Below are 19222 nucleotides of genomic sequence, written 5' to 3'. Positions count from 1 at the left end.
TCTCAAAATAATAATAATAAAGGGCCGGGCACGGTGGCTCATGCCTTTAATCCCAGCATTCTGGGAGGCTGAGGTGGGTGGATCACCTGAGGCCGGGAGTTCGAGACCATCCTGACCAACATGGAGAAACCCCATCTCTACTAAAAATACAAAATTAGCTGGGCCTGGTGGCACATGCCTGTAATTCCAGCTACTCGGGAAGCTGAGGCAGGAGAATCACTTGAACCCGGGAAGCGGAGGTTGCAGTGAGCCGAGATTGCACCATTGGACTCCATCCTGGGCAACAAGAGCAAAACTCCATCTCAATAATGATAATAATAATTAATATGTCTTGTTTTGTGGATACCCAAAACTTGGACACTAGTCAAGTAATTAACAACCATTCCAGCACAGGGCTGACCATCAGAATGGAGGCTGGCCCAACCCCAAGCTAGGGGTGAGAGGCGGGCAGCATTCTGGTCCTGAGCCAGGCACTGCTGCTTTAGTTACTGGATCATGGGGAATAACAAAGTAGTACCAAAGCCCATGTCCTTGCCTTAATGATATAGGGTGATATGTTCTTTTTCTTGTTCATCTAATAATAATTATGCTGGCCATTCTCTTTTCTCATAAAATGTCCCTTCCAGGAGTGAATCTTTGGATTGGCCCACTAGAGACCTTTCCCCTTGAAGCAAGATTGTAATAAAACTCTGATATGTACTTGTGTTGGAAAAAAAAACTCTATCCAAACCGTGTTTTTCTCCTACTCTCACACACCACAACAATCAACAGAGAAGACTTCTGTGATCAAATGTGAGGGGAAGTTTTCCTGAGACACCAACCAGCGGACAGCAGCTGGATGTCCTCCAATTCAATTCCAACACTGTCTCTTTGCAGATAACGTGAGATCCCACAGTTGAGAGCTCAGTCCCCAGGACGGTCCTCCCATCCCTAGACACTTCTCTTCTCTTTTTCCCTAGTCCCTGGGAAATAGTTGCAAGTCCGGGCCTCCAAAACTTCCTGAAGCCAGTGCGGGGATTGGCTTCAAGTTGTGGTCCCATGACCCCCTTTTTGGGTTGGATTAATTTGCAGGAGCGGCTCACAGAACTCAGGGAAACATGTTAACTGCTTTATTATAAAGGATGTTACAAGGGATACAGATGAAGAGACGTGGAGGGCAAAGTATGGGAGAAGGGACTCAGAGCTTCCATGTCCTCCCTGGGCACATCACCCTCCAGGAACCTCCACGTGTTCAGCTACCCGGAGCTCTCCCAACCCAGTCCTCTTGGGTATTTTTGTTTTGTTTTTTATTTTTATTTTCTTTCTCTCTCTTTCTCTCTCTTCTCCTTCCTTCCTTTCTCCTTCCCTCCCTCCCTTCTTTCCTTCCTTCCTTCTTTCCTTCTTTCTTTCTTTTTTTTTGACAGAGTCTTGCTCTGTTGCCCAAGCTGGAGTGGAGTGACATGATCTCGGCTCACTGCAACCTCTGCCTCCCAGGTTCAAGAGATTGTCCTGCCTCAGCCTCCCAAGTAGCTGGGACTACAGGCGCCCACCACCACGCCCAGCTAATTTTTTGTGTTTTTACTAGAGATGGGGTTTCGCCATGTTGACCAGGCTGGTCTAGAACTCCTGACCTCAGGTGATCCTCCTGTCTTGGCCTCCCAAAGTGCTGGGATTACAGGCTTGAGCCACTGTGCCTGGCCATGTTTTCTCTTTTTTTGTAGACAAGTTTTTGCTCTGTGGCCCAGGCTGGAGTGCAGTGGCATGGATAACAGCTCACTGCAGCCTTGACCTCCTGGGCTCAAGTGATCCTCCTACCTCAGCCACCCAAGTAGCTAGGACTAAAGACTTTTACCATCATGCCTGGCTAATTTTTTAATTTTTTTTTTGGTAGAGGCCAGGTTCCATTATGTTGCCCAGGCTAGTTTCAAACTCCTGGGCTCAAGCCTTCCACCTCAGCCTCCCAAAGTGCTGGGGTTACAGGTGTGAGCCACCACACCTGGCCCTTTTGGGTTTTTATAGAAGCTTCATGACATCAGCATTCCTTTCCTCAGTGTGTACAGGGTCTTAATACTCATAGTCAGAAAGGTGGGGGTAGATTAGAGGCCTGCCTTGGGGCAGATGAAAGGAGGGCAGAAGAAAGAGAGATTCTGTTTCCTGAGGCCTGCCCCTGAGGCCTAACACGCCCAACATTGTAACAAAAGACTGTAACAAGGGCTATGGGAGTTATGAACCCGGAACTGTGCACAAAAACCAATATATGTCATAATACCACAGTATACTTAACAGAAATGTCTAGAAAGTTGTTTTTAACTGTGGAGAGGTTTCCCAAGAGTTGGGCAGAAATGGGACTTAGAACAGAGTAGGGACAGATGTATTTCAATAATTAAGCTAATATGGCCACAGGTCCCAGCTCTGAATCAGCCCTGAATGCAATACCTTTTAAATTCATCTAGACCGTGTAGATTTTATTGTGGTTAGTACAATACAAGACCTGATTTCACAATAGCTTATTGACATTATGTATTTTGTCAAACAATGGCTAATGTGACATTATTTATGTTAAAAAGGCAAGATCCACTGATGAATGCTAAAAGAGTGAATGAAATGTTAAGGAGCAACACAACATTTGGATAGCCTTAAAGCATTTTCTTCAAAATATTAATGACCATGGTGGTTTTAACAGATGTCCACAGATTCTTTGATACACCTCCTCTGGGAAGTGGGACTTAATTCTTTTCCCCTTTGGTGCGGACTGGACTTAGTGACTTGCTTCTAGAGTATGGAAAGAGGAAAAATGGCAACTTCACAACAGAGAAACTTGGCAGACATAACCTTAACCAAGTGATTAAGGTTAACATCACCAGCAACAAGTTATGCTGATCTCATATATCCCCAGATATTATTTAAGGTGAGGGATGCTTCCCCCTCTGTGGTATTCCCCAAAATCCATGACTCCAGTCTAGTGAGAAATATCAGACAAAGCCTCAGGGACATTCTACAAAATTCCCAACCAGTACTCTTCAAAAGTGCCAATGGGGCTGGGCGCGGTGGCTCACACCTCTAATCCCAGCATTTTGGGAAGTTGAGGTGGTGGATCACTTGAGGTCAGGTGTTCGAGACCAGCCTGGCCAACATGGTGAAGCCCGCTCTCTACTAAAAGTACAAAAACTAGCTGGGTGTGGTGGTGCATGCCTGTAATCCCAGCTACTCGGGAGGCTGAGGCAGGAGAATCACTTGAGCCCAGGAGGTAGAGGTTGCAATGAGCCGAGATCTTGCCACTGCACTCTAGCCTGGGTAACAGAGTGAGACTCTGTCTCAAATAAATAAATAAATAAATAAATAAATAAATAAATAAATAAAATAAGATAAAATAAAAAACTGCCAATAAGCCAGGTGCAGTGGCTCACATTTGTAATCCCAACACCTTGGAAGGCCCAGGCAAGAGGATGGATTGAGCCCAGGAGTTAAAGATCAGTCTGGATAAGATGGAGAAACTCTGTCTCCACAAAAAAAAAAAAAAATTTTTTAAATTAGCCAGGTACGGTGGCAGGTTCCTGTAACCCCAGCTATGTGGGAGCATCCCTCAAGCCCAAGAATTCTAGGCAGCAGTGAGCTATGATTGTGCCACTGTACTGTAGCCTGGCTTATAAATTGAGACCCCATCTCTAATGAAAAAACAAAAACAAAAAACACCAAAGAAAAGTGCCAAGGTCATGAAAAAACAAGACCAAGAAATTGTCACAGATTGGAAGCGAGTAAGGAGACATGATGGTTAAATACAACATGATATACTGGCTGGAATCCTGGCACAGAAAAAGCACATTCATGGAAAAACTGGCAAAATCTAAATAACATTTGTAGTTGTGTAGTTAATAGTGTTGTGGTAATGTCAATTTTTTTTTAAGAGAGTCCCACTCTGTTGCCCAGGCTGAAGTGCAGTGACACAATCATAGCTCACTGCAATCTCAAACTCCTGGTCTCCAGTGATCCTCCCACTTCAGCTTCCCAAAATGCTGGGATTACAGGCAAGTGCCACTATGCCCAGCTGGCAATGTCAATTTCTTAGTTTTGATTTTCCTGCCATGGCTATGTAACAAAAAGGGAAGATGGGTGAAAGTTATATGGGAACTCTCTGTTCCCTTTTACAACTCTTCTGTAAATCTAAAATCATTTCAAAATAATAGATTAAAAATACCAACAGGAAGCCTGGTGCGGTGGCTCACATCTGTAATCCCAACACTATGGGAGGCTGACGTAGGCGGATTGCTTGAACCCAGGAGTTTGAGACCAGCCTCAGCAACATACCGAAACTCTGTCTGTACAATAATAATAATAATAATAATAATAATATAAAAATTAGCAGGGTGTGGTGGTGCTCGCCTGAAGTCCCAGCTGCTCAGGAGACTGAAGTGGGAGTATCTCTTGAGCTCAGGAGGCAGAGGTTGCAGTGAGCCAAAATCGCGCCACTGCACTCCAGCTTGGGTGACAGAGTGAGACCCTGTCTCAAAAACAAACAAACAAAAAAACCAACAAGAATAATAAAATCACAAAGCCTTCAAATTCCCCAATTAAACAAACAAGCAAACAAAATGTTTTCACAAATATTGGGAACTGCAGTTTACACAACATGCAAATAGCTCGATGAAAGAATCCAACAATAATACTAACAAAAAGCAGGAGGTCATGCAGATGTTTCCAACCATCCCAATGCATGTGCAGTTGAGTGCAATGGATGTCCTCCTTCTTTTCTCTTGAGACAGGGTCTCACTCTGTCACCCTGGCTGGAGTGCAGTGGCATGATCTCGGCTCACTGCAACTGCTGCCTCCTGGGCTCAAATGAGCCTCCCACCTCAGCCTTCTAAATAGCTGGGACTCCAGGTGTGCACCACCATGCCTGGATAATTTTTTTTTTTTTGGTATTTTTTGTAGAAATGAGGTTTTGCCGTGTTGCTCAGGCTGGTCTCAAACTCCTGGACTCAAGTGATCCACTCACCTCAGCCTCCCAAAGTGCTGGGATTACAGGTGTGAGCCACTGCATCCAGCATGAATGTTCTCTTCTGGGCTGGCAGTATTCACACTCAGAACTGTGATCTAGGGTTAGAGGGCAGCATGGACAAGTCCAAAGCTTGAGGTTTCTCAGTGGGTCAGGGTGGGAAGACGGAAGGTAGGTTCTGTGTGTTCCAGCAGGAATGGAGGGAGGCAGTGGATTAAAATAATTAAATCAAATAATTAAATGAAGATAATTCACACATGAAAAGTGCTTAGCCCTGAGCCTGGCATAGTAACCAGTCAATAAAAGTTTATTATTATTATTATTGTTATTTTTGAGATGGAGTCTCGCTCTGTAGCCCAGGCTAGAGTGCAGTGGCACGATCTCGGCTCACTGTAACCTCCACCACATGGGTTCAAGCAATTCTCCTGCCTCAGCCTCCCATGTAGCTGGGACTACAGGTATGTCCCACCACGCCCGGCTAATTTATTGTATTTTTAGTAGAGACGGGGTTTCGCCATGTTGGCCAGGCTGGTCTCGAACTCCTGACCTCAGGTGATCCCCCCATCTTGGCCTCCCAAAGTGCTAGGATTACAGGCATGAGCCACCACGCCTGGCAATAAACATTAATTATTGTTATTAGTAGTAGTAGTACCATTTATCAAATACCCACTTTTTTCTAGACACTGTGCCCAAAACTCTGCATCCATTACCTCAAATCTTCACAACATCCCTGTTTTACATAAAGTAAGCTTACGTGACTTGCCCAAGTTAGACTGCTCCTGAACTTGGATTCAATACTGATTTGCATAGTAGCCTCCTGGGCCTCAGTTTATCAAAAGGTAAAAGGCTAGAAATGGCCCCAGAAAAGTGGGATAGCCCAGTGGGGAAAACCTAGGGCTTTGAAGTCAAAGAGACCTTCCTACCTTCTTCACATGGCAATGGCCTCCGTCCTTAACACATCCAAGCACATAGTACTCAGTTCACAGTAGTAGAGCAGGGTCATATTTGGAGCTTTTTAATTGAGCCTTTTTCTTCCTCACCAACTTTTTTTTTTTTCTGTTTAATGGCCCTTCACCAATTGTCTGAAGGGGCACTGGAGTATAGCCTGAGAGAAAGAAGTCATTGTTCAGCCTTGAATGTCAAATGGGACTCTTATAAAAGTCCAAAGCAGAATTATTTTAAAGATCCAGGCACTCAACTACAAAGTCAATATATACAGAAGAGACACATTTTTTTCAAAATCTTCTCTTTAAATATCAAGAGATTTATTAACAGATCAAGGAGGATAAAAAGTAAAAGGAAAAAAAATCAAGAGATGAAACTTGGATGACCCAAGGAATAAAAGTTTCCCTGATGTCATCAAGTAGGTAATTTCTCAGGTCAGGCAAGAAACTCTTCCTGGATGGACTGAGAAACATAGAAAAGAGAGCAAGTGCCTGGGATTCAGGTCTCATCTGCTTAGGGTGAATGCCCAGTGGAAGGAGTAGAAGACCAATGAACTAAGGGGCGTATGCCTCCTTCCACGGGAGGTGGAATGGCTGTGAGGCCTATTGAGGGAGAGAGAGAAGCAACGTTCTCTCTGGCCCAGCCCCACGGCTCCCCATTCCCTCCACGTACCAGTTCTGAAGCTATCAGCCCTTGTCCCCAAACCTATCCCTGTATGTGCCGTCTGGTGACGCTGGGGCTGGCATTGGGGCCCACCCTATTTCTGTTCCGTCAGCTGTTTCCAGGATAGGCTCTGCCAATAGGGGACCCTGGAGGGTGCAAGGCGGTCCCAGGAAGAAAGGTCTCAGCATACCGTTCCATCCTGTCACCATCGCCTCAGCGATGGCCCTTCATTCACCCTGGCAGAGGAAATTGGTTCCAGCAGCAAGCGGTTCTAGTTTCTAGGTTTTCCCCACCTTCCCAGAACCAGCCCCACTGTGGCCCCTCGGAGACACCAGCACCAGTTACAGCCATGCCCTCCTCCGGGTCTGGGTCCCAGCTGCTAGGTCCTGACACCTAACTTCCTCCCTTGTTCTCCCTTCCCTAGGGGTGGTGTCTGTTTCCTGCAGTTACTACCTCCGCTCTCATGCCGCCGGCTTTTCCATCTGTCAATTAATGTTTAGTCAGTTCTTTTAAAAACATTTAAAATTTTTTGTTTTTCTTTGTCTCCATCAAAACTCCTGTTGAAATAGTCAATTCTTTCTATTCAATTCCCTCTCTTAAAGCAACCAGTCTGCTTTCTGTGTTCCTGATGAGACTGACTCATACAAACGTCTGACTCCCCTGAGGCCTTTGTGGGTCATGGGTAAGCATCAGAAGTTTCCAGTAGGACACATCTAAGCCCTGAGGAACCTGTGAGAGGCTTGGGGTCAGGATGAGGAGGGCTCAGAGCACACAGCTCTGGCAACAGACACCGTGGCTGGAGGCTTCAGGAGTGACGTATGCCCAGGCCCAAAGCCAGAGAGGACCAGTGACACCAGCAGAGAAGCAATGGGGAGAAGCTGGCACCAGACACCACAGAGGGCAAGGCAGCCCATAGGGCCATCAAGCCCAGAAGCCTAGGCCCAAGCCCATAGGTGTTAGGTAAGGCTCCTCTGCCACCCGATGTGATCCTTGGACAGAAGGAGAAGGCACCACCGAGAGACGAGCAACCCTAACAGCAAGTTCAGATCCTGAGCTGACGATTTTTCCAAACAAGACTAAATATTTTTGTCTAAATTTTTTGGTATTGACATAATTTCAGATTTATAGAAAAGTTGGAAGAGTAAGGCAAAGAATTCTGAATCCCTTCATCCAAATTCCCTAAATGTTAACATTTTACTATATCTGCTATATTCTTCTGTGTTTGTGTGCACATGTGCATGTGTATTTTTTTCTGAAATGTTTAAAAGTTGTCCACATAGTGCCCTTTTGTTCCTAAATACTTTAGTGTGTATTTCCTAAAAACATGGACGTAACCCTACATATCCACAGTATAGTTATCAAACTTGGAGAATTGGCCGGGCATGTTGGCTCACACCTCTATAATCCCAGCACCTTGGGAGGCTGAGGCAGGAGGATCACTTGAGGCCAGGAACTGGAGACCAGCCTGGCCAACATAGTGAGACTCCCTATCTTAAAAAAATTTTTTAGGCCGGGCGTGGTAGCTCACGCCTGTAATCCCAGCACTTTGGGAGGCTGAGGCAGGCGGATCACCTGAGGTCAGGAGTTCGAGACCAGCCTGACCAACGAGGTGAAACTCTGTCTCTACTAAAACACAAAAATTAGCTGGGCATGGTGGTGGGCGCCTGTAATCCCAGCTGCTTGGGAGGCTGAGGCCGGAGAATCACCTGAACCTGGGAGACGGAGGTTGCAGTGAGCCGAGGTTGCACCATTGCACTCCAGCCTGGGCAACAAGAGCAAAACTCCGTCTCAAAAAAAATTTTTTTTTAACACGAAAATTAAAAATTGGAGAATTAACATTATACAAGACTATTATCTAACCTGTAGACTTATTTCAGATTTTACCAATTGTCCCCAAATGTCCTTTAAAGCAAAAGAAAATGCACGCTCTCCCACTGCATTTAGTTGTCATGAAAAAATACATTTTAACCCAGAAATAAATCAGGGGAAGAGGAGTTGTGATCGCGTTGGGTTCAGTTGTGGAAGGAAAGTTTTATTTCTGCAAATCTGAATCATACAGTATAAATGCTGACCCTGCTATGTTAGCAATTAATAATAGCGTTGATGATAATGGTAATAATAGTTCATGACCCTTTCTGTCCTGGATCTTTATCTGTTTGAGATACAGTTGTAGTCATTTGGCATCAGCCAGTTGCTCCATGAAAAAAAGGTTTATTGAGACAATGTAGCATACGGCAAACACAGAAGTTGCAGGGTTAGACAGACCTGGGTTGAAAACTGGCTTTGCCTTGCTGGTGGTATGACCTTGGACATGGTTTGAACCTTACTGAGCCTCCGCTTCCTTGCCTTTAACATTGAGAAGGGGTAGGATCTGGAGTCCAACAAATCTAGGTTCACATCTTTGCTCTGTGCTTGCTAGTTCTGGGCCCTTGGGCAAGTGCTTTCATCAGGTTGCATTTTGGTCTGCTCATCTGTAAAATGGGCACCTTGCTGGGATATTGGGAACAGAGATGATTTTTGTATGAAATCCACCTGGTTCATAGTAGTTCTTAGTGAATGGCTATTTTACTTTATTTTTTGATAGGATCTAATTCTGTCTCTCAGGCTGCAGTGCAGTGGTACAATCATGGCGCACTGTAGCCTCGACCACTGGAGCCCAGGTGATCCTTCTGCCTCAGCCTACTGGGTAGCTGGGACTACAGCCACGTGCCATCACGCCCAGCTAATTTTTGTATTTTTTGTAGAGTCAGGTTTCACCATGTTGCCCAGGCTGGTCTTGAACTCCTGGGCTCAAGTGATCCACCCACCTCGGCCTCCCAAAATGCTGGAATTACAGGCATGAGCAACCACACCTGGCCATTAAATGTTAATTGTATCAGCCCTTCCGAGTTGGGGCATGTGATTCTTCCTCTGTGAGCCTCAATTTCTTCATCTGTAAAACAGAGCCAGTAGTACCCATCTTTTGGTGTGAAGAATGAGAAGTGAAGGTGGAAGGGCTTGGTGCTCTGAAAAGCCTGGTGCCTTGTGGCCCTGGCAGAGTATGTGATTGGTGGGGCAGTGACAAAAACAGAAAGTGCTTTGGAATCCTGGGGCCTGCCAGGAATGTGGGCAAACCTGTTCCATCCACTGCTGCCCCAAGCTCCAGACTCTCCCATCTTCTCCCCCAATCAGGTTCCCTCCCCCATTCTTTGGGTGCGTCTTGGCTTGTCCTGCCTGTCTTCTTCTAGGAAGCCACTCAGTCCTGCCTCAAAGAAGGGAGGAAGGATGTCACCTTGTCCTGGGCAAGTTATTGGGCAAGACCAGGCAGCTCCAGTGCTAATTTAATGCTGGGAAGAGAGTCGGGGAACCTGCAGCTCTGGCCAGCTTTCCCCCAAGGAATCCCAGCCCTACCAGCCTCCTCCCTGTCTCTGGCACATACCAGTTCACAGCCAGATCAGTAGAGCAGAGGTGTACAATGGGGAGGCTCTGGCCTGAGAAGAGGAAGCCCCTGAGAGCATTCAAAGGGTCAAGAGAGGACTAAGGCAAGACCTCTTGGGTAAGAGGGCCCCAGAAAGAGAGCCAACCCTGGGACCAGCCAAGGGAGGCAAGAGGTGGGTGTGTTTCCAGAGTGGACAGATGTCCATTCGACCTCCTGCCTTGATGGTGGAGTCGTACAATGGGCCAGGCCCTGTGCTGAGCTCTTGACATGATACACATTATACTTATCTTATGGAACCCTCATATGTCCTAGGATCCCAGGGCCTATCCCCCTTGGATAAAGGAGGAAACTGAGGCCCGGAGAGTGACGCTTCCAGTTCCAGTTGGTGTCTGCTCAGGGGTTGGAATCTGAATTGGCTCAACTCCAAAATCCATGTTCAGCAGGTTTTCTGTAGGATGGAGAAGGATCAGGAGCTAGGCCCAGGGCTGTCCCTAACTTCAAGGGCTAACATTTTTCTGGGTGTAACCCTGTGACCTTGCCAAGTTACTTATGTATTCCTTCCCCTGCACTGACACATTCTAGGGATCCCGGAGTGGGCAGGGACTGTCCACATCATCTAGCCCTTCTTAAACATATCTGTAATTACAGGCCCTTAGGTGCCTTCTCCCCACCCAACCTGACTGTGGGTTCTTCCAGGCACTGAATCCAATTACTCTATTTATCTGCCCACATACCAAGCAAATGCCAGGAATGCATTTGGTGTTTATTGAATGAAGGCACGAATGAGGTGGAGTTAAACCTCCTTGCTTCTCAGAGGAAGCACTAAGACCCAGCGAAGGAGGGAAGGGGCTTGCCCAAGGTCACTGTCCAACTTCCACCCAGGGTACTTTCCCTTCTATGACTCAGTCCTGGCATGGGCCCAGGGTTTTGCCAAGAAGGGCTGCCTTTGGGGAGCCCCGTGGGAAACCAGAGACCCCATCTGGCCCTTAAAGCTCTTCCTCTCTTTAAGATTAGGAAAAAGGTCATAGCAACCCAAAGGAGGCGGAGCAACTGGAGTTCAAGACATTCACCTTAAAAGGTACACTCAGTTGCCCCTGCGTTTGGACTTTGCTGACCTGGAAAAAAGAGAACTGCATAGTAATCCATTTGTGTTCCATCTCGTCAAAAGTATAGCACCTGTGGGGGCTGAGCTGGTGTTTCGTGGGATCATGATGATTCTCTGACTTGAAGTGCAAGGACTGGGAAAAAATTCCATGTCTGTAAGAAAATGAATCCTAAAGATTCCAGTGTTGTACCTTATCCATTGATATATTCATTCATTCATCCATTCACCCACTCATTCATCAATGTAGTATTTCCCAAATGTCACTCATTCCTGTACTACTTTCATCATTTTTTATAATCTGTAAGATATTTTTGCTTTGTGTTTTTCTTTATTGGACTATTTTACTTAAATAAATTTAGCCTCAGCCTAAGCAACAGTACAGTCTGTTTAAATATAGCTATTACAATAACAAAATGTTTGTCCATGTATCACCTAAAACCCTCTTCTGTGCCACCTTGGATGTATCTGCATTCACTCATCCTCTCCTCTCTGCACCTCAGGTCCCACAAGTGAGCAGTGGAGGGCATTCGGATGCAATGATCTTTCAGCCCTAACATTCTGGAAGTCTGATTCAAAGAGTCACACCCAGCAAAGGAAAACACAGAGACTAGACGGAATCAGTGAAGAGGTGGCTGGTCAAAAGCAGCACATGTATCGTGTTTTCAAAGCTCAGCAGTGACTCAGGAAGGCAAGACAGGAAGTCCCTTGGGAATGGTCTGTAAACCAGGGCGAGGGACTAAGAAAAACAGGTAGATAAGTCCCCAGGAGCCTTAAACAGCCCCCAAAGCATGAGCTACACATATGTCACTAGACTCTGTCAGAACCTTTCAGAGCTGGCCAGGCATGGTGGCTCACGCCTGTGATCCCAGCACTTTGGGAAGCTGAGGTGGGAGGATAGGTTGAACCCAGGAATTCGAGACCAGCCTGGGCAACATAGCGAGACCTTGTCTCTACCAAAAATAAAATAAATAAATAATTTAAAAAGAGGCCAGGAGTGGTGGCTCACACCTGTAATCTCAGCACTTTGGGAGGCCCAGGCGGGCGGATCACCTGAGGTCAGGAGTTACAGACCAGCCTGGCCAACGTGGCGAAACCTCATTTCTACTAAAAATACAAAAATTAGTCAGGCATGGTGGCAGGCGTCTGTAATCCCAGCTACTCAGGAGGCTGAGGTGGGAGAATTGCTTGAACCTGGGAAGCAGAGGTTGCAGTGAGCCGAGATGGCGCCGCTGCACAGAGCAAGACCCCGTCTCAAAAAAAAAAAAAAAAGTAATAAAGTAAAAAATAAAAAGAACCTTCCAGAGTTTCTAGAGGCACTAAGACACTAAAATGCCAGAGAAAGCCATTTTACCCCTGAAGAAGCTCAGCACTGGGAAATGACTGGGCAGAAACGTGGCCCACCTGGCCTGCTCCTAGTCCCCAGGACCGGCCAAACTGAAGTAGGTTTCTTCAGTTTTCTTCAGGTTTCTTCAGTAGGTACCTGCTCAGCCCACAAGCCCAGGGAGTCTCCTGGGTCCTTGGTTCTTCTATGCAGCCCAGCCTCCTTGTCCAGTTAACTGGGGCAGAAGCAGGTACCTGACTCACAGGCAACCACTCTAGAGGCCAGGCTGGGCCAGTCAGATTCCTGAACTTTGGAATTAGGACAAGGAGAGGCCAGACTGTTTGCCACAGGTCCTGGTTGGGTAAGGAAATGTAGATTTGCCAAGGAGGGCTGCTTGGGACACGTGTCTGAAAGACAGAAAGGAAATTGGTGTTTTGAGAGAAGTGGACGGAAAGGTGGGCATTCCCCCAACACCAGTCCTGAGTGTAAGGTCCTTGTGCGACTTGCCTGCCCTTGAGATCTGTGAGATAGTTCTAACGCCTTATATTGAATTACATTTTTTGCTTAAACTAGCTGGAGTGGGCTTCTATTTCATGTAAACAAATCAATCACTGATATAGTGAAGCCCGTCCTTCAAAGTTTCCCAAATTAGACTTGGCAAGTCGGCATAATGGTAATGATGCTAATGACACCCCTGACATTTGATTGGTGTTTTATAATTTAAAAGTCCCTAACATAGGGGTCATCACTCCAGCCTGGGATGACTTGCCCCAGACCTACTCATGCTCCAGACTCTTGGGGAACGGCATCACTCCTAAAACTCTCAATGTCTTCAACAATAAAGTGGGGTTAATAAAGCCTGTTTTAAGTGGTTGTTGCAAGGTTTGAATGTGGTATGCAAAGTGTTTAGCACTTTGGCACACAGTAAAAGTGCTCAGTATGTGGTAGCCATAATAGTGATTTATTATATAAAGTACCTAGATGAGGCTAGACACATAATCACTAATCAAAAATTATGTAATATAAAGTGCTTACTGATCAGTGCAGAGGGTTTGACTTGACCAGACTTAACAGGATCACTTGTAAAACAAAGGAGTTTTAGTTGATCACAAGCTTTATGTGAGTCAACAGAAACCATCACAAAGCTAATGTGATCTCAGGCCATATTAAGAAAAGTTTTATCTCTAGAAGATGGGAGATGTTAGTCATGTCCACCTCAGTCCCTATCAGACAACACCTAGTGGTGGGGAGGGGGCGGGCTCTAGGAAGAGGACCTGTGACCTCACAACTTTCTAAGAAAAATAAAATTTCTTTCTTGGCAAGTATGCTTGCACATATAGAACTCAAAAAACATTCCTCTATTTTTTTTTCCTTTTTCACTTATGCCTTTGTCTTGGAGTAGTTAGAGAAAGCCACTGCAATCAAGACAGTGTGGTATTGGTATACAGATGAATAAATTTAAAATGTCTGCCCTTTGGAAGACACAAGAGAATGCAAATACAATCCACAGACTGAGAGAAAATATTTGCAAATGATTTATGGTGTGGTTTGGTTTTGTGTCCCTACTCAAATCTCATCTCAAATTCTAATTCCCACATGTCAGAGGAAGGGCCTGATGGGAGGTGATTGGATCATGGGGGTGAATTTTCCCCTTGGTGTTCTTGTGATAGTCAGTTCTCATAAGATCTGATGGTTTTAAAGTGTGGTTCTTCCTTCCCTTGCTCTCTCTCTGTCTCTCTCCTGTCACCATGTAAGATGTGCCTTGCTTCTCCTTCACCTTCTGCCATTATTGTAAGTTTCATGAGGCCTCCCCAGTCATGTGAAATTGTGAGTCAATTAAACCTCTTTTCTTTATAAATTACCCAGTCTCAGGTAGTTCTGTATAGCAATGTGAAAACGGACTAACACAGAAAATTGGTACCAGGAGTGGGGTACTGCTGTAAAAATTCCTGAAAATATGGAAGTGACTTTGGAACTGGGTAATAGGCAGAGGTTGGAACAGTTTGGAGGGCTCAGAAGAAGACAGGAAGATGTGGGAAAGTTTGGAACTTCCTAGAGACTTGTTGAATGGTTTTGACAAAAATGCTGATAGTGATATGGACAACGAAGTCCAGGCTGAAGTGGTCTCACATAGAGATGAGGAACTTATTGGGAACTGGAGCAAAGGTCACTCTTGCTATGCTTTAGCAAAGACACTGGTGGCATTTTACCCCTGCCCTAGAGATACATGGAACTTTGAACTTGAGATAAATGATTTAGGATATCTAGTGGAAGAAATTTCTAAGCAGCAAAGCATTCAAGAGGTGGCTTGGGTGCTTCTAACAACATACAGTCATATGCAGTCACAAATAGATGGTCTGAAATTGGAACTTATGTTTAAAAGGGAAGCAGAGCAAAAGTTTGGGAAATCTGCAGCCTGACCAAGCAGTAGAAAAGAAAAACCCATTTCCTGGGGAGAAATTCAAGCTGGCTGGATAAATTTGCATAAGTAACAAGGAGCCAAATGTTACTCACCAAGACAGTAGGGAAAATGTCTCCAGGGCATTTCAGAGATCTTCCTCAGTCCCTCCCACCACAGGCCCAGAGGTCTAGAATAGAAAAATGGCTTCATGAGCCAGGTTCAGGGCCCCTGCTGCTCTATGCAGCCTTGGGACATGGCACCCTGCATCCCAGCCACTGGAGATCCAGCTGTGGCTAAAAGGGGCCAAGGTATAGCTAAGACCATGGCTTCAGAGGGTGCAACCTCCAAGCCTTGGTGACTTCCATGTGGTGTTGTGCCTGCAGGTGTGCAGAAGGCAGGAGTTTAGGAGACTTTGCCTAGATTTCAGAGGAGGTGTGGAAACATTTGGATGTCCAGGCAGAAGTCTGCTGCAGGGGCAAAGCCCTCATGGAGAACCTCTGCTAGGGCAGTATGGAGGGGAAATGTGGGATTGGAGCCCCAACACAGAGTCCCCACCAGGGCACTGCCTACTGGAGCTGTGAGAAGAAGGCCATTGTCTTCCAGACCCAAGAGTGGTAGATACACTGACAGCTTGCACCATGCACCTGAAAAAGCCTCAGGTCCTCAATGCCAGCCTTTAAAAGCAGTTGTGGAGGCTATACCCTGTAGAGCCACAGGGGTGGAGCTGCCCAAGGCCTTGGAAACCCACTTCTTGCATCAGCGTGCCCTTGATGTGACACATGGAGTCAAAGGAGATTATTTTAGAGCTTTAAGATTTAATGGCTGCCCTGTTGGGTTTTGGACTTGCATGGGGCCTGTGGCCCTTTTGTTTTGGTCAGTTTCTCCCATTTGGAACAGGAACATTTAACCAATGCCTGTACCACCATTGATTTTACAGGCTCATAGGCAGAAGGGACTTGCCTTGTCTCTGATGAGACATTAGACTTAGACTTTTGAGTTAATGTTGCAATGATTTAAGACTTCTGGGGACTGTTGGGAAGGCATAATTAGTTTTGAAATGTGAAAGGACATGAGATTTTGGAGGAGCCATGGGCCAAATGATCTTATTTGGCTCTGTGTGCCCACCCAAATCCCATCTGGAATTATAATTCCCATGTGTTAAAGAAGGGGCCTGGTGGGAGATGATTGGATCATGGGGGCAGGTTTCTCCCTTACTGTTTTCATGACAGTGAGTTAGTTCCCCTGAGATCTGATGGTTTTAAAGTGTGGCAGTTCCCTACCTCACTCTCTCTCTTGCCACCATGTTAAATGTGCCCTTGCTTCTCCTTTACTTTCTGCCATGATTGTTAAGTTTCCTGAGGCCTCCCCAGCCATGTGAAACTGTGAGTCAATTAAACCTCTTTTTTTTCTTTTCTTTTTCTTTTTCTTCTTCTTCTTATTCTTTTTTTTTTTTGTTGTTGTTGTTGTTGTTGTTGATGGAGTCTCACTCTGTCACCCAGGCTGGAGTGCAATGGCATGGTCTTGGCTTACTGCAACCTCTGCCTCCCAGGTTCAAGTGAGTCTCCTGCCTCAGCCCCCTGAGTAGCTGGGAATACAGGCACCTGCCACCACGCCTGGCTAATTTTTGTATTTTTAGTAGAGATGGGGTTTCACCATTTTGGCCAGGCTGGTCTCAAACTCCTGACCTCGTGATCTGCCCGCTTCAGCCTCCCAAAGTGCTGGGATTACAGGCATGAGCCACCACGCCTGGTCAACCTCTTTTCTTTATAAATTACCCAGTCTCGGGTAGTTCTTTATAGCAGTGTAAAAATCGGCTAATACAATATATTTGATAAAAGTCTTGTGTCCAGAATATAAAAAGAACTTCCAAATGCAATAATTAGAAAATAAGTAATGCAAATAGGGGCAAAATACTTGAACAGATACTTCACCAAAGAAGATATCTAGCGACAGGGCATGTTATCTTACACCTATAATCCCAGTGCTTTGGGAGGCTGAGGTGGGAGGATCACATGAGCCCAGGAGTTCAAGGTTACAGTAAGCTATGATCATACCACTGCACTTCAGCCTGGGCAACAGAGCAAGACTGTCTCTGAGCAAAAAAAAAAAGCGGGGGATAAACTAAACAGACCCTGAACCAGACTCTGTTCTCAAGGAGCACCCAGGTTGGTGGAGAAGACAGGTGGGTCATCAATCAGTTCATTATGATCCAGAAAACCAGGGAGAAACAGAAAGTGACAGGACACAGGGTGGAGAGGAAAAAAGCCCAGATCCACTCTCCAGCCCTGGACTCAGAATTAGTTAGCAAATAATATATGCTAGGTGCTGTACATAATCTGCGTCCTTTAAATCTTACCACAAACCCACATGTCAAGTAGCTACCTTTAGTCTCATTTTACAGATAAGGAAAACCGAGGCTCAGAGAAGCTAAGTAGTCCAGGGTCAGACCATTTGTTAAACCTCAGAATCTGGATTCCAGCTCGTCTGATTCCAAAGTCAACCATGCTCTCCTGCCTCCCATTATAAAGTGTTGCGCACTATAATTATATTTCTGAACCTTGACTGAGGGAGAAAGTTTATAATTTTCACTCTTTCCTTCCCAGGAGTGATTCTTTTTTAAGTAAAATAGAGACGAGGCCTCACTATGTTGCCCAGGCTGGTCTTGAACACCTGGGTGCAAGCCATCCTCCTGCCTTGGCCTCCCAAGGTGCTGGGATTACAGGTGTGAGCCACCATGCCCAGCCCCAAGTGTTATTATTCTTTAAATATATATATACTTTTAATTTATTATCAGCTTCAATAAAGCCCCCTAAATAAGCAATGCATCTCATCCTCCAGAAAGACTTCTCAGCGTCCCCAGTCCCAGTGCCCCGAGCTTACCCCAACACAGCACCAGCCCACAGTCAGCTACTAAGTGCCTGTTGACTGGTCTGATTTCCTGATGTGAGTTCCAAGGAGGCAAAATCCATGTCAGGGGCCAGTAGGTCCCAGTAAGTATAAGTATTTGAGGAAGGGAGGAAGAGAGAACAAACTGAAGGCAGGGAAGAATTTTTTTTTTTTTTTTTTTTTTGAGACAGAGTCTCACTCTGTTGTCCAGGCTGGAGTACAGTGGCACAATCTCAGCTCACTGCAATCTCAGCCTCCCAGGTTCAAGTGATTCTCCTGCCTCAGCCTCTCAAGTACCTGGGATTACAGGCACCCGCCACCATGCTGGGCTAATATGTGTGTGTGTGTGTGTGTGTGTGTGTGTGTGTGTGTGTGTGTGTGTATTTTTAGGAGAGACGGGGTTTCACCATGTTGGCCGGGCTGATCTTGAACTCCTGACCTCAAGTGATCCACCCACCTCAGCCTCCCAAAGTGCTGGGATAACAGGCATGAGCCACCATGCCCAGCCTTTAAAACCTATCATCATAAATACCATTGATTGAATATTTGCCCTCTGCCAGGCTCTAGCTCAACACTCCACTATATGCATGGTCTCTTTTAAACCTCTCAATCTGATGAGATGGATGATAATTTCATCCTCGATTTAGATTTGAGGACTGAAGTTCAGAGAGGGTGTCTCCTGCCTAGGATTGCGCATCCAGGAAATGTTTGCTCTTAACCATTGCACTGCAACTTTGGGGCCACTTCTTCATACCCTGGTAGGAGCAGAGGGATTAATTCATGATGTTGTTGCAAGACATTCTAAATTGTGCCATCCCAAGTCCCCTCAGGCTCTTTGGGAGAAAATACTCAATCTTTCACCACTTCTCAGCCCCATCTGTCCCTTCTTCAGGGTGACATCTGAAGGGGAATGGAGTTGGGGGCTTGGATAGTCTCATGGTTGGGGAAGGGGCCTCTGACCCAGTACTGCTTCCTCTTTCAAGTGTCTGCCTTCTGCAGTGTGGCTGAGGCACACGTCCCACCTGTCCTCTGGGCAGGTCCCCTGGCCTCTGCTGCCCACAACTATGTTCCTGGCCACAGTCTTCACACCCTCTCCTCTGACCCCAACCTTCTTCTTGCCTACCGTCTTCCTGAGCATTTCCATACACCTACCCCCACCACCTCCTGGGGTTCCCTCTTCACACCTCCATCCTGGAGGGCATGGGCTCTGCGAGGCTGCCCCTGGAACTGAGAACAACCCTTACATCAGGGCTATTCAAAGTGTGGTTGGTATTAGAGCTAGGCTCGGTGGCTCATGCCTGCAATCCCAGCATTTTGGGAGGCTGAGGCAGGGGGATCACTTGAACCTAGGAGTTTGAGACTAGCCTGGGCAACACAGCGAGACCCCGCCTCTACAAAAAAAAAAAAAAATTAGCCAGGTGTTGTGGCACATGCCTGTAGTCCTAGATACTCCAGAGGCTGAAGCAAGAGGCTTGCTTGAGCCCGGGAATTTGAGGTTGCAGTGAGCTGTG

The 19222-nt window shown here is 46.1% G+C and overlaps 2 annotated features.

The window, feature by feature from the left end:
• Window positions 6604-6898: a silencer, noted in NCBI's record as "tiled region #1319; K562 Repressive non-DNase unmatched - State 7:EnhWF". NCBI's record gives its function as "represses a minimal TATA promoter and a strong SV40 promoter by Sharpr-MPRA in K562 cells {active_cell/tissue: K562}" and the evidence as "EXISTENCE:reporter gene assay evidence [ECO:0000049][PMID:27701403]".
• Window positions 10168-11367: an enhancer, noted in NCBI's record as "BRD4-independent group 4 enhancer chr1:41363720-41364919 (GRCh37/hg19 assembly coordinates)". NCBI's record gives its function as "activates an origin of replication core promoter dependent on BRD2, P300/CBP, MED14 and CDK7 cofactors, and independent of BRD4, by STARR-seq in HCT116 cells {active_cell/tissue: HCT116}" and the evidence as "EXISTENCE:reporter gene assay evidence [ECO:0000049][PMID:35650434]".

The sequence above is a fragment of the Homo sapiens genome, chromosome 1, assembly GCF_000001405.40.
Source record: "Homo sapiens chromosome 1, GRCh38.p14 Primary Assembly".
Classification (NCBI taxonomy): domain Eukaryota; kingdom Metazoa; phylum Chordata; class Mammalia; order Primates; family Hominidae; genus Homo; species Homo sapiens.
The sequence above is the reverse complement of the archived record's forward strand: the minus strand, read 5'-3'. Positions and strand labels throughout refer to the sequence as shown.